This window comes from Homo sapiens, chromosome 14 (genome assembly GCF_000001405.40).
Source record: "Homo sapiens chromosome 14, GRCh38.p14 Primary Assembly".
In the NCBI taxonomy this organism is placed as follows: domain Eukaryota; kingdom Metazoa; phylum Chordata; class Mammalia; order Primates; family Hominidae; genus Homo; species Homo sapiens.
In genome coordinates, this window is record NC_000014.9 from 90,339,135 (window position 1) to 90,363,041 (window position 23,907).

Sequence of the window (23,907 nt, forward strand, 5' to 3'; positions counted from 1 at the left end):
AAGTGGCATGATCTTGACTCACTGCAACTTCTGCTTCCCAGGTTTAAGTGATTCTCTTCCCTCAGCCTCCCAAGTAGCTGGGATTAGAGACACCCACCATCATGCCTGGCTAATCTGTATTTTTAGCAGAGATGAAGTTTCACCATGTTGGCCAGGCTGGTCTCGAACTCCTGACCTCAAGCGATCCACCTACCTCTGCCTCCCAAAGTGCTGGGATTACAGGCGTGAGCCACCATGCCCTGCCAACCATAGAATTTTAAGTTGTAGCTTGTCCACCAGCAGCCAAGAGGGACATTGGTGATGATGAACAGCCACTTCACTGGAGCATGAGGAATGAGGTGTGAAAAGAGGAACCAAGAGGGGCACAATGACACTTTCTAAAAAGACAAATACGGCCTGGTGCGGTGGCTCACGCCTGTAATCCCAGCACTTTGGGAGGCCGAGGCAGGAGGATCACCTGAGGTTGGGAGTTCGAGACCAGCCTGACCAACATGGTGAAACCCCATCTCTACTAAAAATACAAAAATTAGCTGAGCGTGGTGGCAGGCGCCTGTAATCCCAGCTACTGGGGAGGCTGAGGCAGGAGAATTGCTTGAACCCGGGAGGCGGAAGTTGCAGTGAGCCGAGATCATGCCACTGCACTCCAGCCTGGGGCAAGAAGAGTGAAACTCCATCTCAAAAAAAAAAAAACAAAAAAAAAAAACAAAAAAAAACCAGACAAATACAACTTCAGGTAATAAAGGCAAGGTTCTACTCAATGAGTATTCAGCAAAGGCCATATGCTAAGTGCCAAAGGTACATACGGGCATCTCAACCAACAAGTCTGCCTGAAGAGTTAAGTGCAAAGATGATCTATAAATGAACAAAGGATTACTACCAGCACTGCGGAGGTGGAGATTAACTCTGCCCCTTTGGAAGGCTCCAAGGAGATGGAGCTACTTACCTGGGTCTTACAAATGAGAAGTAGTTCCTGGGACAGACAAAGGAGAAAACAAACATAGGCAGAGAAAACAGCATGTGCAGAAGTCCCAGGTTATGAAACAGCAAGGTGTGTTCAAGGATCCTCAAGGGTTCTCTGGCTGCAATGTAATGGGAGAGGCTGGGGAGACTGCGAAGACTGTCTGGGATCAGGACGTGAAGAAATCTGATGTCATAGGTTGTTTAATAATTTGTCCCTGGTTCGGCTGGGTGTGGTGGCTCACGCCTGTAATCCCAGCACTTTGGGAGGCTAAGGCGGGGGAAATTACGAGGTCAGGAGATCGAGACCATCCTGGCTAACACGGTGAAACCCCATCTCTACTAAAAATACAAAAAATTAGCCGGGCGTGGTGGCGGGCACCTGTAGTCCCAGCTACTCGGGAGGCTGAGGCAGGAGAATGGCATGAACCCAGGAGGCGGAGGTTACAGTGAGCCGAGATCGCGCCACTGCACTCCAGCCTGGGCGACAGAGCGAGACTCTGTCTCAAAATAATAATAATAATAATAATAATAATAATAATAATAATAATAATAATGGTTCTTTCCGGGTGTTAAACTCTAAATCTTTGGAATTTCCCCAGTGATAGGATAGGAGTGACTTTGTTATTCATGGTGCGCCCCAGACTACACCTGAGTTTATGCTAACAAGATGACTCAGATGGGGGATGCCTGGAAAGACCAACTCTGTGATTAGAGAGGTGGGGCTTCTAGCCAGCCCCACCTCCAGGGAGTGAAGGTAGCTAGAGACTGAATTTGATCATATTTAATAATGAGCCAACAATTCAGTCCATCATTCCTATGTCATGGAACCCCAGTAAAACTCTAGACACAGGCTGAGCAAGCTTCCTGGTCGGTAAACACATCAGCATGCATCCTGATTCTCAGAGGGCACAGAAATTCCACATTCAGGACCCTCTCAGAACTGTCATTTTGCTGGTCTTGATCGATATCTTTTTTTTTTTTTTTTTTTTCGGGCAGAGTCTCTCTCTGTTGCCCAGGATGGAGTGCAGTGACACAATCTCTGCTCACTGCAACCTCTGCCTCCCAGGCTCAAGGGATTCTTGTGCCTCAGCCTCAAGTAGCTGGGATTACAACTGTGTGCCACTATGCCCGGCTATTGTTTGTATTTTTAGTAGAGATGGGGGTTTCACCATGTTGGTCTCGAACTCCTGGCCTCAAGTGATCCACCTGCCTTGGCCTCCCAAAGTGTTAGGATTACAGGCATGAGCCACCGCGCCCAGCCCTGATTTGTATCCTTTATAATAAAACTGTAATAGTAAATATAGCACTCTCCTGAGTTCAACAAGTCATTCTAGGGAATTATGGAACCCGAGGGTGTCATGGAAACTGCCAAATTTATTGCCACTTGAGCCACTGGGTGTGGTGGCTCACACTTGTAATCTCAGCACTTTGGGAGTTTGAGGCGGGAGGATCTCTTGAGCTCAGAAGAGTTCAAGACCAGCCTAAGAAACATGGTGAAACCCCATCTCTACAAAAAATACCAAAAATTAGCCACATGTCATGGCACATGCTTGTAGTCCCAGCTACTTGGGAGGGTGAGGTGATGATCAGGAAGAGCCCAGGAGGTCGAGGCTGCAGTGAGCTGAGATTGTGCCACTGCACTCCAGCCTGGGTGACAGAGCAAGACCCTGCCAAAAAAAAAAAAAAAGAAAAGAGAGAGAGAGAGAGAAAGAAAAAGAAGGAAGGAAGGAAGGGAGGGAGGGAGAGAAGGAAGGGAGAAGAAAAAAGAAAGAGTAGGTGGCCTGAGGACCTCTGGAACCTGCAGCTGGCATCTGAAGTCAGGGTGGTCTAGTTGGGAACTACGCCCTTGAATCTGTGGAGTCTGTGCTTACTCTGGGTGCCTCACATAAGAACTGCATTGCCGGCCGGGCTCGGTGGCTCAAGCCTGTAATCCCGTCACTTTGGGAGGCTGAGTTGGGTGGATCCCTTGAGATCAGGAGTTTGGACCAGCCTGGCCAACATGGCGAAACCCTGTCTCTACTAAAAATACAAAAATTAGCCAGGCTTGGTGGCACACGCCTGTAATCCCAGCTACTAGTGAGGCTGAGGCAGGGGAATTACTTGAACCCAGGAGGCGGAGGTGGCAGTGAGCCAAGATCAGGCCACTGCACTCCAGCCTGGGCAACAGATGGAGAGTCCGTCTCAAAAAAAAAAAAAAAAAAAAGAGTTGCATTGCAGTATTTCATAATGCATACACCTTATTTTGAGACGTTTTAAGTGAGGAAATATCAAATACTTGTGTCAGAAAAACCAATCTGCAGCAGTATAAAGAATGGATTAGACAGGGTAGAATATGAAGGGGGGTGTGTTGCAGATGGCTAGGAATCAGGATGATCAATAAACCAGGCCAACATACAGTGATCAGGAGTGAGACTGTTCTTTTTGAGTTAACTTTTAGGACAACAGTGTGTTTAAGAGAGTGAATTACAAACATCTCTGTGAAATACGTGTGTGCAGAGGCAGATGAAAGAGCAGCACCCCCAGGGGTTAGTTCTGCATGTGACCAGCCTGGCGTGGGACAGGAGGAACACAGCAGTTTATTGGCAACATATCGCTTTAGATTATTGGTGAGCTAAAGGATTTGGGTTTTTTTGTTTTTGTTTTTGTGTTTTGTTTTGTTTTTGAGACAGAGTGTCGCTCTGTTGCCAGGCTGGAGTGCGGTGGTACATCTCAGCTCACTGCAACCTCTGCCTCCCAGGTTCAAGCAATTCCCCTGCCTCAGTCTCCCAAGTAGCCAGGACTACAGGCATGCGCCACCACGCCTGGCTAATTTTTTTTTTTTTTTTTGTATTTTAGTAGAGACAGGGTTTCACCATGTTGGCCAGGATGGTCTTGATCTCCTGACCTCATGATCTACCCGCCTCGGCCTCCCAAAGTGCTGGAATTACAGGCGTGAGCCACCGTGCCCAGCTTGGATTTGGGTGTTTTAAAGATACGTTTTCCTTTTGAGTTTTTGGGAAGAATTTAAAGATACAAAATAATAAAACAGGCCAGATGCAGTGGCTCATGCCTATAATCCCAGCACTTTGGGAGGACAAGGTGGGCAGATCACTTGAGTCCAGGAGTTCGAGACCAGTTTGGGCAATGAGGCAAAACTCTGTCTCTACAAAAAATACAAAAATTACCCAGGTGTGGTGGTGCACCCCTGTGGTCCCAGCTACTTGGGAGGATTGAGCCGGGGAGGTTTGAGGTTGCAGTGAGCCAAGATCACACCACTGCACTCCAGCCTGGGTGACAGAGTAAGACCCTCTCTCAAAAAATAAATTAATAAATAATAATAATAATAAAATAAATGATAGAGTGCTCTCTCCCACCCCCAATTTAGCACATGCTAACATTTTCTTCACTTGTTCTATTTGTGCTTATTTGCTTTTTATTTAAATCAATGGCTCTCAACATGATGGTGTGGGGAGTGGGGGTGCTGTGGGGGGGAGTGGGGGCGGCGTGGGGGGGAGTGGGGGCGGCGTGGGGGGGAGTGGGGGCGGCGTGGGGGGTAGTGGGGACGCTGTGGGGGTAGTGGGGGCGCTGTGGGGGGGTAGTGGGGGGCGGTGTGGGGGGGTAGTGGGGGTTGGTGTGGGGGGGAGTGGGGGCGGTGTGGGGGGGAGTGGGGGCGGTGTGGAGGGGAGTGGGGGCGGTGTGGGGGGAGTGGGGGCGCTGTGGGGGGGAGTGGGGGCGGTGTGGGGGGGAGTGGGGGCAGTGTGGGGGGAACAATTTTATTTCCCAGGGGACATTTGGCAAAGGCTGGAGATACTTTTGGTTGTCACAATTTGGGGTGCTATTGGCATCTAGAGGGGAGAGGCCCGGGATGCTGCTGAACATCCTACAATGCCCAGGACTGCCCCAACCACAAAGAATTATCTGGCCTCAAATGTCAATAGTGCTGAGACTGAGAAACTCCAATTTAAATAAAATACATAAAATATTATAGATAAAATCGAAGTCCCTTTGTACCCCTCCCCAAACCTGAACACACTTCCATCCACTGTCTCCCCCAAAGCAACCACTATCATGAGTTAGTTCTAAGGACAGAGGGGTTTTGTGTATTCCAGCCAAATGGAATTCTGCAGATAAATCTACTTTTATAACTAGGGACAAAAACTCACTACATCAGCACATATTGGTATTGTACCTGATTGGTTTACCAACTAATTCAGTCCCAGGCATGACATCGCTTTCCCTTAGTGAAAAATCATCCCTATTTGCTTCTTATTTTGAAGGCGTTTTTGTATAGAAAGAATCAAAATTCAAGTCAGGGCCCTTAAATTCAAAGACCTCAGCAATGAAATGTTGCATGGTGGTGACAGTCATTTAGACGAAGCAACATTCCTAGTGCAGTTCTCCATCCTGCCTCATTAGAGATGCTTATGTCATGGACAGAACCTCCACAATGCAGCTTGATTGGCTTAAGCAGAAGACACAGATCTTTCCATGTTAGACTGAAAGGTGGCATCGAGGATGGAAATTCACCCCCTTATTTTTCACTATCCTCAAATGTTTAGCTAACGGATTCATCAGAACTAGTGAGAGCATAATGTCTTTCAACATCTCTCAGGAGTATCAAGCAGCTGATTGCAACTTTTCACATTCCCTCAGCATATGGGCTGTATAATCTACAGGGGATTCTGCAGAATATGCTGATAATGGTTTCCTCCTTGACCTTCAAGCTAATTATCAGCAGGGAATCTTTAATGCTTTAAAAATACATGTCGCTTATTTTGCTTGCAAGTCAGTGGTTTAATAAATGCCAGCGTATATGTTAAATTTTGTTAATGTTTAATATCTTTATCAGCCAAAGTGCATTAAAAATTAAAAGAAAATTAATTCCCACTTTCCCGTTTTTATGCTGTGGGGTAATGTTATTTTACATCGTGCTGTAGTGTTCTACAAATGGATGTTCAGTGCTTTGAATTAGTGAACTTGGTGATTTATTTACCACCTTGGGTGTTAGTCGTTACTTTTTCAATTACTGTAAACTTTATGCATCACAGCATGAGACTCTGAGAAAGCAGATAAACAGTGCTGGGGAGATTTTCTTTTAAATGGGATCACGTAATAAAGACAAAAGACTAAATTAGTATCTCTCATGTGCCAGCCAGCAACATTGGTTTCCATGTTTGTGAGCTTGTGAATAACCTTCCAGAAGTGAACCTTTCACAACCAGAATGCATGGGAAATCCTGGTCTTCTGCCTTTGAGTCACTGTACAAGTCATAGCAAGCCATCCTTATCCACACAGCTCAAAAGCAAGAATCTCTAGGATCCAGTGTATTAGCAAGAGGAAGCTGAGATTTTGACAGGACTGACATTGTGTCATATCATCCTACAAACCTTTCAAAGTGCCAGCAGTGATTGCTATGCTATGCACCAATACCTCAATGTGTCCATGCATTTGATTTCTTTTCCTATTTATTTTATTTATTTATTCATTTATTTATTGGAGATGGAGTCTCCCTCTGTCGCCCTGGCTGGAGTGCATTGGAGCCATCTCAGCTCATTGCAAGCTCCGCCTCCTGGGTTCACGCCATTCTCTTGCCTCAGCCTCCTGTATAGCTGGGACTACAGGCGCCTGCCACCATACCTGGCTAATTTTTTTGTATTTTTAATAGAGATGAGGTTTCACCGTGTTCAGCAGGATGGTCTCGAACTCCTGACCTCATGATCCACCCGCCTCAGCCTCCCAAAGTGCTGGGATTACAGGCGTGAGCCACCACACCCGGCCCTCCTATTTATTTTATATAGCCCTGACAAGATTCCTAGCACTGTCCTGGGCTCTAGGGGTTGAGAGCATATAACACCGAGATGACATGCCCCTGGGGGAGGTTTTAATCTCCTGGAAACCCTGTGTCATTACCAGGAGGGGCATGCCACTGGAACATGGTCCCTGCTGTAAAACTCACAGGGAGGTGAGGCTGAGGCAAAGAAAGGTTAGAGGAGGCCTCATTGGGCTGCTTCCAGAATCACTACTAGAGCAGTGGGGAGCGAGGAGGAGCCGTTGGCAAGGTGACAGAAGCCGCAAATGGGCTCAGTGGGAGTCCAAATTCAGCACCTGCAAGCCCTGCTGGCCTGACTGTGGTAAACACACAGCCACAGGGATTCCAAGTAGTCCCTGGACTGAAGGTTTCTTCCAGTCTGTTCAGCCCACTCTGCCTGGTGGTCCTAGACCTACAGGTATTTAAAATGTGCCAATAAAAAACAAAAGGAAAAAAATGTGCCACTTGAAAGGAAAGTGTTTCAGGACAGGTGTGGCGACTCATACCTTTAATCCCAGTGATTAGAGAGGCAAACCCAGCATTTTAGCTTGAGCCCAGGGGTTCAAGACCAGCCTGGGCAACATAACCCACTTGTCTTTCTTTTTTTTTTTTTTTTTTGAGACGGAGTTTCGCTCTTGTTGCCCAGGCTGGAGTGGAGTGGCACTATCTCAGCTCACTGCAACCTTTGCCTCCCAGGTTCAAGCAATTCTCCTGCCTCAGCCTCCTGAGTACTGGGATTACAGGTGCCCGCCACCACACCCAGCTCATTTTTGTATTTTTAGTAGAGACGGGGTTTCACCATGTTGGCCAGACTGATCTTGAACTCCTGGCCTCAGGTTATCCTCGTGCCTCAGCCTCCCAAAGTGCTGGGATTACAGGCATGAGCCAACACACCTGGCTTTTTTTTTTTAATAAGGGGAAAAAATTTATTAGGTCCAGAAATCAAAGATGACTTAGGGTAGAATTATGATTACATGCAGAATTGGATGGTTAGAAATGAAACCAATCTATTTAAGTCCAGCCTAAGGTTCTGATAGCCAATCAGTAGACACAATGAGAGTAGTAGTATTCCTAGAAACCCGGATAAATCTCCAACTTGCGTGAGTTTAATGAACCAGGTAGATTATTGTATATCTGCCCTTATCCCATTCTCAGTCAGATGAATTTTCTTGCTCATGAAGTCCACATTGAAAACAGCATGCTCAGAAATGGGAGTGAAACCCCCTTCTCTACAAAGAATTTAAAAGTCCCAACTACTCAGGAGGCTGAGGTGGGAGGATGGCTTGAGCCTGGGAGTTTGAGGCTTGAGCTCCTTCCCTGCGTCCTCCTTGACTTAAACCTCTCCCTTTGATGAGGCCTGTGTAAGATCCTCCAGGAACTCCTCACTCAGGACAGGTTCCCACCCAGCTGACCCTGGTTCCTCCAGCTGAGCAGAACCAAGGCAGGTTTGGATCATTTGCTTTTTTGGGGCCAAGGAGAAAAATCTTTGGCTTCAAGTCTTACTGTTGTGGACCCAGGAAATCTGAGACAGGTCTCAGTTAATTTAGAAAGTTTATTTTGTCAAGGTTGAGGATGCGCCTGTGACACAGCCTTGGGAAGTCCTGATGACATGTGCCCAAGGTGGTCGGGACACAGCTTGGCTTTTTTTTTTTTTCTTTTTGAGATGGAGTCTCGCTCTGTCACCCAGGCTGGAGTGCAGTGGCTCAGTCTCGGCTCACTGCAAGCTCCGCCTCCCGGGTTCACACCATTCTCCTGCCTCAGCCTCCTGAGTAGCTGGGACTACAGGCGCCCACCACCATGCCCGGCTAATTTTTTGTATTTTTAGTAGAGACGGGGTTTCACCGTGTTAGCCAGGATGGTCTCAATCTCCTGACCTCGTGATCCGCCCGCCTCGGCCTCCCAAAGTGCTGGGGAGCCACCGCGCCCGGCCTACTTGGCTTTATACATTTTAGGGAGACACGAGATATCAATCAGTATATGTAAGAAGTATATTGGCTCCATCTGGAAAGGCAGAACAACATGAAGCAAAGGCAGGAAACAGGGAGGGAGCTTCCAGGTCACAGATAGGTGAGACACAAATGGCTGCATTCTTTTGAGTTTCTGATTAGCCGTTTCAAAGGAGGCAATCAGATATGCATATGGCTGGGCATGGTGGCTCACACCTGTAATCCCAGCACTTTGGGAGGCCAAGGTGGGCAGATCACTTGAAGTCAGGAATTGGAGACCAGCCTGGCCAACATGGTGAAACCCCGTCTTTACCAAAAAATAGAAAAATTAGCTGGGCATGGTGGCGCAAGCCTGTAATCCCAGCTACTCAGGAGGCGGAGGCAGGAGAATCGCTCGAACCGGGAGGCGGAGGTTGCAGTGAGCTGAGATCGCACCACTGCACTCCAGACTGGGTGACAGAGCAAGACTCTTCATACATAAATAAACAAATGACAGACTTTGGGAGGTCAAAGACGAGGCATTCCTTGAGGCCAGGAGTTCGAGGCTGCAGTAAGCTATGACTGTGTCACTAGCCTGGGCAGCAGAGTGAGTATAAAATAAATAAATAAATAAAATAAATTAAAATAAAAAAATAAAATGAATAAATAAATAAAATAAAATAATTCCAGTTTTTGCAAGTTCTGGAGAGTGACAGTCTTTTAGGCCTATTATGCCATAACCATCCTAATGGGTTCCAAAGGCTATGTAGCCCTTGGGAAGTAAAGATTGCTTTTGGCCTCTGAAACTGACACAGAAAGTTATTTTAGCAAATAAACCTCTCTGCCCAGAAATACCAAAATAATGCATTCTAACGTGTCTACTTTCCGGGTTCTTCAGATAAGTGTAGGTTATATATAGTGAACAGAGGGTGTAGGTTCTGAGAGTCATGACTAGCATTCATATCTGGGGTTCATATGGCATGGTCAGTCCCAGCCTGGACCCATGCAGTGTTCTACGTGGCCTGTCCAAGGACCACCAGACCACCAGACCCTTCGGGAAGGTGGCAACGGCCTGGGAGGGAGACTGAGGGAAGATTCAGAGAGACCTCCCATCTCAGTGTCTGGAATAGGTGTGTCACTTTGCTCCCAGTCAGAACTGATGAATTCCCCAAATCCAAATGTCAGAGTTACGATTTCTTGAACAAGGTGGACGACAGCCCCAGATATTTTGGAAACTAACCATATTGTTTTCCCTTACCTCTCTTAGGAGAGCAGTTACCAAAGAGTTCCCATCTGAGTACAGGTTACAGGGTCAATAGACACTGATGCTCCAGCTGTCAAGGGAGTGATTTAGGCAGAGAATCTAGAACAGCAAAGAGACGTGCTATTTCGACTTCGACTCACACTGCCTCCATGCAGCAAAGAGGTTCTGGAAAGTGATTTTGAAAAGTTCAGAGATCTTGACATGTCTGTTCATCTTCAGCTTATTATAACTATAATTTTATTTTTTTTATTTTTATTTTTGAGACAGGGTTTCACTCTGTCACCCAGGCTGGAGTGCAGTGGTGCGATCTCAGCTCACTGCAGCTTCCGCCTCCCAAGTTCAAGCAATTCTTGTGCCTCAGCCTGAGTAGCTGGGATTACAGGCATGTGCCACCATGCCTGGCTAATTTTTGTATTTTTTGTGGAGACAAGTTTTCACCATGTTGGCCAGGCTGGTCTCGAACTCCTAGGCTCAAGTGATCCGCCCACTTCAGCCTCCCAAAGTGCTAGGATTACAGATGTGAGCCACTGTGTCCAGCCAAGCTTATTATAACTATAATTTTAAATTATCTGCTTCTATTCTGATCTTGACTCTTACAACTGAATTTGTAAGCTTTATAATGAATATTAGTGGAATAATTTACTTAGGAATTCACCTGGTGTCTATTTTTTTGTATGGTTTTAATGACAGTGATCCCAAACTCTTCTATGAATATTACCTGCACAAATATTGCCCCTATTATTTATTTTGGAAAATACTTGACTGCTTTCTGCTTTTGTGTTAATTCAGAGAGCTCATTCATTCTCAAAATGGAAACTGCGATTTAACCAAATGACTCAGATCTCTGCCCCCCGCCCCCCAACATGCTGCCAAAAGCACAGCTCCCGTCACACGTCCTGTTGCATGAAAATAAACTTGTTAAATTCTTTCCCAAACTACTTCCTCTTCCAAGTTTCCCTATTGATTTCCATCAGTTGCCCTGTGCAAATATACCTCTTTCCTTTGGGGATCTCAAATTCATTTATTTTCTTACCCACCAGGACTCATGAACCTCCCCAAATTACTTAGTACACGTATGCATATTTTTCTGGGGAGAAGACCCATCGCTTTCATGCTATTCTCAAGGAGCTCGTGGCTCTCTCCTCCTCCAAAAGGATCAAAATGATCTGCCATTTTAATCCATGCCATCATCACATAATACTAGTATTATTAAAATCAGCTGGGCGCGGTGGCTCACACCTGTAATCCCAGCACTTTGGGAGGCCGAGGCGGGCGGATCACTTGACGTCAGGGGTTCAAGACCAGCCTGGTCAACATGGTGAAACCCCCTCTCTACTAAAAATACAAAAAAAGGCCAGACGCAGTGGCTCACACCTGTAATCCTAGCACTTTGGGAGGCCCAGGCGGGCGGATACAAGGTCAGGAGATCGAGACCATCCTGGCTAACACGATGAAACCCCATTTCTACTAAAAATACAAAAAAATTAGCTGAGCATGTAGTCCTAGCTACTCGGGAGGCTGAGGCAGGAGAATGGTGTGGACCCGGGAGGCAGAGCTTGCAGTGAGCCGAGATCATGCCACTGCACTCCAGCCTGGGTAACAGAGCGAGACTTCATCTCAGAAAAAAAAAAAAAAAAAATAGCTGGGGATGGTGGTGCGCGCCTGTAATCCCAACTACTCAGGAGGCTGAGGCACGAGAATAGCTTGAACCCTGGAGGCGGAAATTGCAGTGAGTCTAGATCCTGCCACTGCACTCCAGCCTGAGCGACAGAGCAAAACCCCGTCTCAAAAAAACAAAAAACAAACAAACAAACAAACAAACAAAAAACAGCATCCTGACTAGGTCACTCCCATCTCCTCCTTCCAGCCCATTCGGGACGGGACGAGGACGCAACACCACTGCTTCAATCAATGGAATACAGGGGCTAGCCACTCCCACTCCTGTCTGTCTGAAACGTCTGCAGGAGTCTAAAGCCATACCATCCTGAACATGCCCGATCTCATCTGAAAGGTTTGCAGGAGTCAGGCCAGTCTACTCACCTTGGCGCCACCATTTCACCTCTATTCCTAATTCGTTTGCTGTTTTCTTCCCGAGAACCCCTCCCATACCCACTTCCCCACACCTATCCACACTTCAAGGCCCAGCCAAAGATGCTTCACAGACCAAGAGCAGCCCAGAGAGAGTTTAGTTTCAGACGACAGAATAACTGAGTGGGCATGTGGCTCCAGAGTATAAATATTTGGAAATGTTAATATGATATATATCATAATACATAATAATATTATTATAATAAATGTTAATATATATTAAACATTTGGAAATATCTGCACAGAGCTTAAACCCTTGTAAAAAGATGAGCTCTCCAAGGTAAATAAAAGCAGAAAGCAGTCAAGTGCTTATTCTCAATTTCTACCGCACTTAGGCGCCTAGCCCAGTGCTTAGGAGAGAGTAGCACTTGACATTTACAGAATAAATGTGGAATGTTATATTTAAAATAAAACATATGGAGGCCAGGCGCGATGGCCCACACCTGTAATCCCAGCACTTTGGGAGGCCGAGGCAGGTGGATCACCTGAGGTCGGGAGTTCGAGACCAGCCTGACCAACATGGAGAAACCCCATCTCTACTAAAAACACAAAATTAGCCAGGCGTGGTGGCATATGCCTGTAATCCCAGCTACTTGGGAGGCTGAGGTAGGAGAATCACTTGAACCCGGGAGGCAGAGGTTGCGGTGAGCCGCAATCGCACCCTGGCACTCCAGCCTGGGCGACAAGAGTGAAACTCCATCTCAATAAATAAATAAATAAATAAATAAATAAATAAATAAATAAATACAAACATATGGAGCTGGGCACACCTGTAGGTTCAGCTACTCAGGAGGTCAAGGTGAGAGGATGGCTTGACCCCAGGAGTTCAAGTCCAGACTGGGCAATGTAGCAAGACCTTGAACCTAAAATAAAAGTTAAAAAATAAAAATAAATGCCTAATTAACTTTTGAGAGGTGTTCAACTCCACTAGCCATCCTGAAAATTCAAATTTAAATAATACAATACCATGACCTAACCATCAGAATAGCTAAAATGAAAAGAAAAGAAAATGCCAGGCTGGGCGAGGTGGCTCACACCTGTAATCCCAGCATTTTGGGAGGCCAAGATGAGCGGATCACCTGAGATTAGGAGTTCGAAACCAGCCTGACCAACATGGTCTCTGCCAAAAAACACAAAACGAGCTGGGCGAGGTGATACCTTCCTATAGTCCCAGCTACCGGGGAGGCTGAGGTGGGAGAATCGCTTGAACCTGGGAGGCGGAAGTTGCAGTGAGCCAAGATCACACCACTGCACTCCAGCCTGGGTGACAGAGCAAAACTCTGTCTCAAAAAAAAAAAAAAAAGAAAGAAAGAAAGAAAGAAAATGCCCAGATTGATAAGGATAGGGAGTAATCTACACTCATGCACTGCAGGTGGGGATATAAACTGGTACAACTACTATGGAAAACTGCATGGCAGCCCCTACTAAGGCTGAACATATGTATATATATGACCCAGCAATTCCACTCATAAGGACATACAAGCCCCCTTCAAAAAAATAGCAAGACCTCAACTCTAAAAAATAAAATAAAACCCCTTCCTATCTAAAGGGGATTGGGAGTTTCACATGGTCAAAATTTGCCAGCAAAATGTGTCGAACAAAGTACTTTGTAAAAAGTAGATGAATTATTGCCCTAGTCCTTGCATTCAGAATGGTTTTTACAAAAGCATGGTAGTTGTTAAGCAACTGAAAGCAGTGCATTACATGTCAAATGACGTCTTTAATAGGTGTATAGTAAATACACACCTTTCTAGCAACATTTGTCATAGATATGATTACAAAGTCAATTTAAAGTGGAGGGAAAGAAAATACACTTTGAATTAATAATTAATAAATAGTCATCTCAGGCATTTATTAATTACTATTACAAATGTAACTAACCCCAGGCATAATTATTTAGGAGAGAATTCAGGTCTTCTCAGAACGCATTCTAAACTGATATTGTTGGTCTCTAAGGAGTAAATGTGTTCACAGCTAAGTTAGGTGTTCAATATTATGAATCAATATTAATTTTAAACTTGGGCTGAAGAGAGAAAAATGGGCTAGTGCACAGCTGCATAACCATTCTCTCGCCTGTTACTTATGCAGACAACTCCAAGTCACCCCAATTTTTTCTTTTTCTTTTCTTTTTTTTTTTTTTTGAGACGGAGTCTTGCTCTGTCGCCCAGGCTGGAGTGCAGTGGCACCATCTCGGCTCACTGCAAGCTCCACCTCCCAGGTTCATGCCATTCTCCTGCCTCAGCCTCCTGAGTAGCTGGGACCACAGGAGCCCACCACCATGCCCGGCTAATTTTTTTTTATTTTTATTTTTAGTAGAGACGGGGTTTCACCGTGTTAGCCAGGATAGTCTTGATCTCCTGACCTCGTGATCAGCCTGCCTCAGCCTCCCAAAGTGCTGGGATTACAGGCATGAGCCACCGCGCCTGGCCTTTTTTTTTTTTTTTTTTTTTCAAACAGAGTCTCACTCTGTTGCCCAGGCTGGCGTATAGTGGTGTGATCTTGGCTCACTGAAACCTCTGCCTCCTGGGTTCAAGAGATTCACCTGCCTCAGTCTTCTGAGTAGCTGGGATTACAGGCACGCATCACCACGCCTGGCTAATTTTTGTATTTTTATTAGAGACAGGGTTTTGCCATGTTGGCCAGGTTGGTCTTAAACTCCTAACTTCAAGTGATCCACCCGCCTTGGCCTACCAAAGTGCCGGGATTACAGATGTGAGCCACTGCGCCCAGCCCCAAGTTGCCTAATTAGGCGTTATTGAAATGGAAGACCAAGCAGGAAGCTGGTGGCTCAGAAGATGGGGCTTGTTCTTCATGTCCACGGTGCTCACTAGTAGAAGGTTCGGGCAAGTGCTTATCTTCATTGGAAGAGGATGATGGCTAATATCAAGACCAGAAAAGTTCAGTCACTTGCATAGGTCCCAGCCTCCAGGCACATAGCAATGTTAGACCACACCTCCACCTGACAATCTATGCCTTCCCCAATCTGCAGTGGTTCTGTGTCTCTAAGTTTCCTTCTGGACTTAAGCAGGCCCCTTTGAGCCTCCACACACAGAGGGCCTGCTAAAAACCTTTCCACTAAGCTCCTAAGAGCTCCAGAAACAAATCACTGGAGGCCGGCATGGTAGCTCACGCCTGTAATCCCAGCACTTTGGGAGGCCGAGGTGGGCAGATCACCTGAGGTCAGGGGTTCGAGACCAGCCTGGCCAACATGGCAAAACCCTGTCTCTACTAAAAATACAAAAATTAGCTGGGCACGATGGCACATCCCTGTAATCCCAGCTACTTGGGAGACTGAGGCAGGAGACTTGCTTGAACCCAGGAGGCGGAGGTTGCAGTGAGCCGAGATCGTGTCACTGCACTCCAGCCTGGGCGACGAGTGAGACTGTCTTAAAAAAAACATCACTAGAGCCCTCCACCGAACCCTCATCCTCAAGGCTGGCTGGCCACTGCATTCCACCAGTGCTCAGACCGCATGGCGCAGCTGCGCCCCAAGCCCACAGGAGAATTTCAAAACAGGAGAGCTCACAACAGCCACTGCCCCTGTGTACAATGTTACGGGAGATGACAAGGAGGTCTGGAAAATCTGAGATCTGAGCCACAGACCAGGCAGCTGGCTCATAGCCTGGCTCCTCCCAGTCCGGGGTAGGCTTCCCAGGATCCCAGTCCTTCCAGCTACTGGTGACGGTGGAAACACCACACAAAAGAGAGCTGGCTTTTCAGGAGGTGCAAGTAGGGTCCTTTAGGATAACGGTCCCTAATGGTCTCTAACCTTTTTGGCACCAGGGACTTGTTTTGTGGAAGACAATTTTTCCACGGATGGGGAGGGGAAAGGAGGAGGGGAGACTGAAGGGAAGGGATGGTTTGAGGATGAAACTGCTCCACTTCGTATCAGGCATTGGATTCTCATAAGGAGCCTGCAACCTAGATCCCTGGCATGCGCAGTTCCCAAAAGGGTTTGTGCTCCTTTGAGAATCGATGCCGCTACTGATTGGACAGGAGGTGGAGCTCAGGTGGTAATGCTCACCCGCCTGCCGCTCACTGGCCTGCTGTATGGCCCCGTTCCTAACAGGCCATGGACAGGTGCTGGTCCACAGCCTGGGGGTTGGGGACCCCTGCTTTAGGAGTTCTGAACACCTGAGTTTTTTAGTATTACTGGAAAGATATGATGCCAATACATTAGATTTTTTTCCTTATACAAATTGATCCTCCACCCTTGCCAGACCCTTCCTATTCATTTCCTTTGGAAACAGTCTACCTTATTGCCCCTACACTGTTACCCAGTTTTGTACTCAGGGATCCCAGTCTACTAGACCCCTTTGTCAAGCTCAGTGAGCACTGGCAAAGAATGGAAGGAAAGGGCCAGAGCTTCAGAGGTTTTATGATGTAACCAGTGGCCAAGGTCTGGGACGTGAAACTTGCCTGGGGTACCCATGACTTCAGGAAAGGCTTGAAGGTGGCTTGGCAGAGCACTCACCTCCATGCCGGTATGGCTCAGGACAGCCCTTCTGCTGATGAGCTCTGGGGAGGCCCTGTCCTTCCCTGCTCCCTCACCCTTTCATCCTTCCTCACTGGTGTAGGCAGATGGCCCAATTCGTCAGCAACCAAGGCAGAGACAATGGGCTGAGCTGACTCATTTAGGAACAGTAATTCTTCCCAAAGAAGATTCCCCATTCATTTAGACACTGAAGCAATTATTTGCGGGCTGACACTTGTAATTACTTTTTACTGCAGGTAGGTAACTGTTCCAAGCTAATAGGATTACTGGTTTCTGAAGGACTTTTGGAACAAGCAATTTTCAAATAGCACAGCATGTTCAATGAACTTTCCACCCAGGGCAAATTCCTTCCTCTGTGGCTCCTCATGACAGGCAAGGTGTGGATTCCTGGATAGGGGGCACTTTGGAACTGCAGGGGCATTTTTCTTCCATGCTCCTTTGTTTGTAAATGGGACCAGAGCAAATTATGCCTGGTGATATTTTATGGGCTTGCAGGTAATTATTCTAAAATTTTCAACTGTTCTGAAAGTTGGCATTAAATTATATCAACCAATCAATCTTCTTAGCAATAGCAGGGAAAATCATTTTCCCAGTTATGGTATCTCATGGTTACGCCTCCCTCTATATTACGCATTTCTGAGGGGAAGTTAAAAAAAAAATCCAGGCTGAATGTGATGGCTCATGCCTGTAATTCCAGCACTCTGGGAGGCTGAAGCAGGAGGATCACTTGAGCCCAGGAGTTTGAGACCTGCCTGGGCAACATGGTGAAACCCTATCTCAACAAAAGTACAACAGTTAGCCAGACGTGGTGGTGCACACCTGTAGTCCCAGCTACTCAGGAGGCCGAGGTGAGAGGATTGGCCTGAGCCCTGGAGGTCGAGGCTGCAGTGACCTGTGATTGTACCACTGCACTCCAGCCAGGGTAACAGAGTAAGACCCTGTCTAAAAAACAAAATCAGGAGGCCTTTTTGTCAAGGTTTTTTGTTTGTTTGTTTGTTTGTTTGAGACGGAGTCTCCCTCTGTCACCCAGGCTGGAGTACAGTGGTGCAATCTCAGCTCACCGTAGCCTCCACCTCCCAGGTTCAAGCGATTCTCTTGCCTTAGCCTCCTGAGTAGCTGGTACTACAGGTGTCAGCCACCATGCCCGGCTAATTTTTTTTTTTTTTTTTTTTTAGATGAAGTTTTGCTCTGTCGCCCAGGCTGGAGTGCAGTGGCGCAATCTTGGCTCACTGCAACCTCTGCCTCCCGGGTTCAAGCAATTCTCCTGCCTCAGCCTCCTGAGTAGCTAGGATTACAGGTGTGCACCACCAAGCCCAGTTAATTTTTGTGTTTTTAGTAGAGATGGAATTTGACCATGTTAGCCAGGCTGGCATTGAACTCCTGACCTCAAGTCATCTGCCCACCTTGGCCTCCCAAAGTGCTGGGATTATAGGCATGAGCCACTGCACCCAGCCTTAGTCAACATTTCTAACAAGATGATCAACTGTTGTAGACCGTAAATAATGATTTTGCAACAAGGTTCTCTATTTGATAAGAAAAAGTCCATTTGAATGCTTGTCAATATTTGACCCTATCAACTGGTTTGACATTTAGCAGTTTAAAAAGCACATCCACAGTCTGTTGGAATGACAGTTTCTCTTACTGAGAAGGTATTTGGTTGTTGTTGTTGTTATTCTTGCTTACTCAAACATTCCCAACTGCTCCACTGTCCATCCGCTAGTTAGACAAACTCTGAGGGGGTCATAACCATTCTCTTTGTTTGCAGGAACCATCCTGCCACCTGCCCTGAAGAGCCTGCAAAATGCAAAATTATATGGCCAGGAGAAGATTGGGAGAATTTAATCCTTGCACCTCAAGAAGGAACAGTTCTGCTTTTAAGTAGAAGAGGACAGTGAGTAGCTGAGAATCCAGGGAGCGTGAACCATGTAGACTGCTGATTTGGAGAGTAGTTTTTAGACTTCTAGACATAGTCGATGCCTAGAACTTGTAAAGAAATTCTATTATCAGTAATAGGTACTCTCGATTTGGTTTGCTGATATGCAAACTCATTCAAGTCTGGGATCTGCAGAGAAGGAATTGTAATCCCACAACAAATGTCATTTGCAGCCCTTAGAAATAAAAAAACCTCATGTATTGTTAGGAAAATTGAGAGTATGCTACAGAGCAATCTCCAAAGCCTGAAAAATGCTTAGCTGAAAATCTGATTTTATTTATTTACTTTTTTGAGATGGAGACTCACTCTGTCACCCAGGCTGGAAAGCAGTGGTGCAATCACAGCTCACTACAGCCTCAAACTCCTAGGCTCAAGCGATCCTCCTCAGCCTCTCCAGTAGCTAGGACCACAGGCACACGCCACTATGCCTGGCTAATATTTTTTAATTTTTTGTAGAGATGGAGTCTCACCATGTTGTCCAGGATGGTCTCAAACTTCTGGGCTCAAGCAATCCTCCCACCTTGGCCTCCCAAAGTCCTGGGATTACAGGCATGAGCCACCATGCCCAGCCTGTACAGGCAGGCACCTGTAATCCCAGCTACTCGGGAGGCTGAGGCAGGAGAATTGCTTGAACCCGGGAGGCAGAGGCTGCAGTGAAAACAGGTTTAAAATTTTCTTTTACTATTTAAAATTATAAAAACCTTTAGTATTACCACAACCTTTCAAGTCATTCTGATAGGGGCAACTAAAGTCATCCTCAATTGCGAGCCCCCAGCTCTACAATATCAGGGGCATAAAGTTTGCAAATTGAGAGCAAGTAAGTAAAAGTACAAGTTTGGAATCAGACAGAATTGGATTCAAATCACTCCCTAATACTTCGAACCTGTGTAGAATCATTATCTCCCTCATAAGGGTGGAGACAATGAGATCACACATGTGAAGTACTTAGTACTATGCCTTGTGCATAGTAAATGCTCAAACTGTGATCAACACATTACCCATACTGAAGAGTCATGCTTCCTCCATGACATTACCATTAACATTTCTGAATGAAGCGCACACCATTTGCTAGCCAAGCCTCCTTTATGGCAGATCTAACCTTCTGGGATTGAGAAAGTTTCAAAGGTACCCGTGACACCTACGCCATCATAAAAGGTCAGTCCAGTCACTGGTCCCAAAGGGTGGTCAGGCGGCCACTGCACCTGCATTACCAGCAGTGCTTGTTTAAAAAGCTGGTCCTGGCCAGGTGCAGTGGCTCACGCCTATAATCCCAACACTTTGGGAAGCCGAGGCAGGAGGATCACTTGAACCCAGGAGTTCAAGACCAGCCTGGTCAAGATGGCAAAGTCCTGTTTCTACTAAGAACACAAAAAATTAGCTGGGCATGGTGGCAGGCACCTGTAATCTCAGCTACTCGGGAGGCTGAGGCAGGAGAATTGCTTGCCTCGGCCTCCCAATGTGTTGGGATTATAGGAGTGAGCCATAGTTCCCAGCCTTCTTATGTATGTATTAGAATTCTTCATATATATGTATATAGGATGTTACGCAGATCTGACATATATTCCGCAAATATATTCTCACAGATTGTTTTGCATCATAAGTTTTTGCTTAAGTTGGAATTTATTGTCATGTGAAAGTTTTTGCAAATTCCTTTTAGTCAAACCAGCTTATTTTATTGTTTCTGCTTTTGGTGTCATGTTTAGAAAAGTCAAGGCCATCCCTAGAATATATAAATATTCATCAAAATTTTCTTCTAGTTCATTCTAGTTTCAATTCATACATTTAATTCTTTAATTAATCTGAAATTTTATGCTGATGTATGATGTAAAATAGAAATCAAACTTTTTTTTTTTTCTAAACACAAGCTGGCCAATTGTTTCAACTTATATTGTCAGGTAGAGACTTGGAAGACGTTAATTTCCACTAAAGCGAACTAAGATTCCAACATGTGCTGTATCCTCCTTCAAAGCCCAGAATCTTAGCTACCTGCTTTCTAGAGCACTATCTGTGCTCCTGGGCATCCAGGAAGAGGTGTCAGCAGCTCCTCCTAAGACACGTCTGCTTTTGCCACATTTCCAGACTTTCTTGGATCTCTGACCGAATGGATTCTGGCAGTAGTCATTGTCATGGTGCCCACTCAGTACCCAGCCCCTGGTCAGCTCCCTCGTCAGAAGCTTGGAAGATTTGTCAAAGCAGAACAGGGAGTTCCAGGGAAGCACAGGTTGGGGAAGTAGTGGAGGTAGAAGGGATGCCACAGATCTTTTCCCCAAAAAATCGAATACATATGCCTAGGATACCACTTCTGTGAACGTAACCTAAAGAAATACTTTCCCAGGCGGGGTGCGGTGGCTCACGCCCGTAATCCCAGCACTTTGGGAGGCCAAGACAGGCGAATCACGAGGTCAGGAGATCGAGACCATCTTGGCTAACACGGTGAAACCCCATCTCTACAAAAAATACAAAAAATTAGCTGGGCGTGGTGGCGGGCGCCTGTAGTCCCAGCTACTCGGGAGGCTGAGGCAGGAGAATGGCGTGAACCTGGGAGGCGGAGCTTGCAGTGAGTGGAGATCGCACCACTGCACTCCAGCCTGGGCGACAGAATGAGACTCCGTCTCAAAAAAAAAGAAAAACCAAAAAGAAATACTTTCCCATATGGACAAAGATGGAAGAGTAAAACTGTTCATTGCAACATTATTGTTAACAGCAAAACACATCAATAGAAAATTGGTTACATAATGATACATCTGTATTATGGAATACTTTGCAATGTTTGAAAAGAATAAAAGGGAGAGTAGAAGGGAGGAGGAAGATAAAGACTGCAAAAACATAGGAAAAGAAAACCAAGTCATAGAATATTATGTACAACATAAACTTGTTAATGTAAAAAAAACCTATAAATACGTAAATATATATACATATATATTCATGAATATATGTGTATGTATACACATACACATCCAAACATACATATTCATATATATTCAAAAATATAGAAGTATTTCAGAAAAGATATTGAAAGGATGGAAACCCCACTGAGAAAAGAGTGGATGGAGTTGATAGGGGAGTGCTAGAAAGAGAGATGACAGAGGTAGTTTTTTTGGGTTTGTTTTTTTTTTTTTAGCATATTACGCTAAATACTTCTGTATTTTAAAAATCTTTTTTTTTGTTTTTGTTTTTGTTTTTTGAGACGGAGTCTCACTCTGCTCACTCTATCACCCAGGTTGGAGTGAAGTGGTGGGATCTCAGCTCGGCTCACTGCAACCTCCACCTCCTGGGTTCAGGCGATTCTCCTGCCTCAGGCTCTTGAATAGCTGGGATTGCAGGTGCCCGCCACCATGCCCGACTAATTTTTTTGTTTTTTGTTTTTGAGATGGAGTTTTTCTCTTGTCGCCCAGGCTGGCGTGCAATGGCGCGATCTTGGCTCAATGCAAACTCTGCCTCCCATGTTCAAGCGATTCTCCTGCCTCAGCCTCCTGAGTAGCTGGGATTACAGGCGCCTGCCACCATACCCGGCTAATTTTTGTATTTTTGGTAGGGACGGGGTTTCACCATGTTGCCCAGGCTTTTCTCAAACTCCTGATCTCAGGTGATCCACCCGCCTCAGCCTCCCAAAGTGCTGGGATTACAGGCGTGAGCCTCCGTGCCCAGCCCAGTTTTTTTATTTTTAGTAGAGACGGGGTTTCACCATGATGGCCAGGCTGGTGTTGAACTCCTGACCTCAGGTGATCCACTCACCTTGGTCTCCCAAAGTGCTAGGATTACAAATGTGAGCCACTGTACCCTAAAAATCTTTTACAATAAAACATTTCAGGAAATGCATATGTAATTTCTTTTTTTTTTCTTTTGAGACAGAGTCTGATGCCCAGGTTGGAGTGCAGTGATACAATCACTGCCACCTCCACCTCTGGCATTCACGCAATTCTCCCACCTCAGCCTCTCAAGAAGCTGGGATTACAGGCGTGCACCACCATGCCCTGTTAATTTTTTTGTATTTTTTGGTAGACACTGGGTTTCACCATGTTGGCTAGGCTGGTCTAGAACTCCTGACCTCAAGTGATCCACCCAGCTAGGCCTCCCAAATTGTTGGGATTACAGGCGTGAGCCACCACACCCAGCCATAATTTCTTAAAAGACAAAAATTAAAAAGAAAGGTTTTCATGGAAACCCTAAGGCTATATACACCAGGATGAACTGGAGTGTTCCTGAGTTGGTCACCAACTGGGGCTCAGTCTTTCATTATCAGTAGCATTAGTAAGCCCAAGAAGGCTCAGCTGAAAGCCAGCCTACACAGGCATACCTGGGGCACAAAACTGGATGTAGAAAATGCAGAATGAAATACATTAGAACAGGAAAACACGAGAGAATGTCCAGAATGCCCATATCAAGGACCAATTTAATCTAGAATTCAAAAAACAAAAGGAGCCATAAATAGTGAATACAACAGGATGAATCATCTCCCAGATGGAGAAGACTCGATGGCCTTTGTTCTGGGTTGAACCTGGACTAATCCCTGCATGAAATAATCATATAACTTTTTTCCCACTGCCTCAGAAGGAAAAATAGAAGGGCAGCCTGGGCAACCTAGCAAGACCTCGTCTCTACAAAAAACAAAAAAAATTACCCGGGTGTGGTGGTGCACACCTGTGGTCCCAGGTACTGGGGTACTGGGGAGCAGGAGGATCCTTAAGCCCAGGACATTGAGACTGCAGTGAGCCATGATCGCATCACTGCACTCTAGCCTGGGGGACAGAAAAAGACCCTGTCTAAAAAACAAACAAACAAACAAACAAAAACAAAAAGAAGAAGAAGAGGAAGAAGAAGAGGAGGAGGAGGAAGAAGAAGAAGATGAGGACGAGGAGGAGGAAGAGGCGGAATGCCTTGAAGTGACTGAAAATTACAAAGTTTTTTTTTGTTTGTTTGTTTTTCTTTTTGTTTTTCTTTTAAAGTGGGAATGATCACCTATTTTGACACTTTGGCATGTCTCATGATTTACTCATCAGATTAGTCTTCATCTGTTTGGGCTGTTATAACACAATACCATAGACTGGGTGGCTTATAAACAACTGAAGTTCATTTCCCACAGTTCTGGAGGCGGGGAAGTCCAAGATCAAGGTGTCAGCATGTTCTGTGTCTAGTGAGGGCTCGTTTCCTGGTTCGTAGACAGCTATCTTCTGGCTGTGTCCTCACATAGCAGAAGGGGTGAAGGAGCTTTCCAGGGTCTCTAATGCCATCCAACCCTCATGACCTAATCCCTGTCCAAGGTCCCACCTCCTAATACCATCACACCGGGGCATTAGGATTTCAACACATGCATTTTGAGGGGACACGAACATTAAGTCTATAGCAATTACCAGAACTGACTTACTAAAGACCTGACCTTTGGATCCTCCTATATTCACAGCAGCTGCCAGATTAGACTCTAACAAACAGGGAAGTAAGAAGCCCCCTGTCCCA

At 45.8% G+C, this 23,907-nt stretch overlaps 1 annotated feature.

The window, feature by feature from the left end:
* Positions 14,123–14,315: a silencer, noted in NCBI's record as "fragment chr14:90819601-90819793 (GRCh37/hg19 assembly coordinates)". NCBI's record gives its function as "represses an EF-1alpha promoter that drives an FKBP-Casp9 reporter gene in an ReSE screen in K562 erythroleukemia cells {active_cell/tissue: K562}" and the evidence as "EXISTENCE:reporter gene assay evidence [ECO:0000049][PMID:32094911]".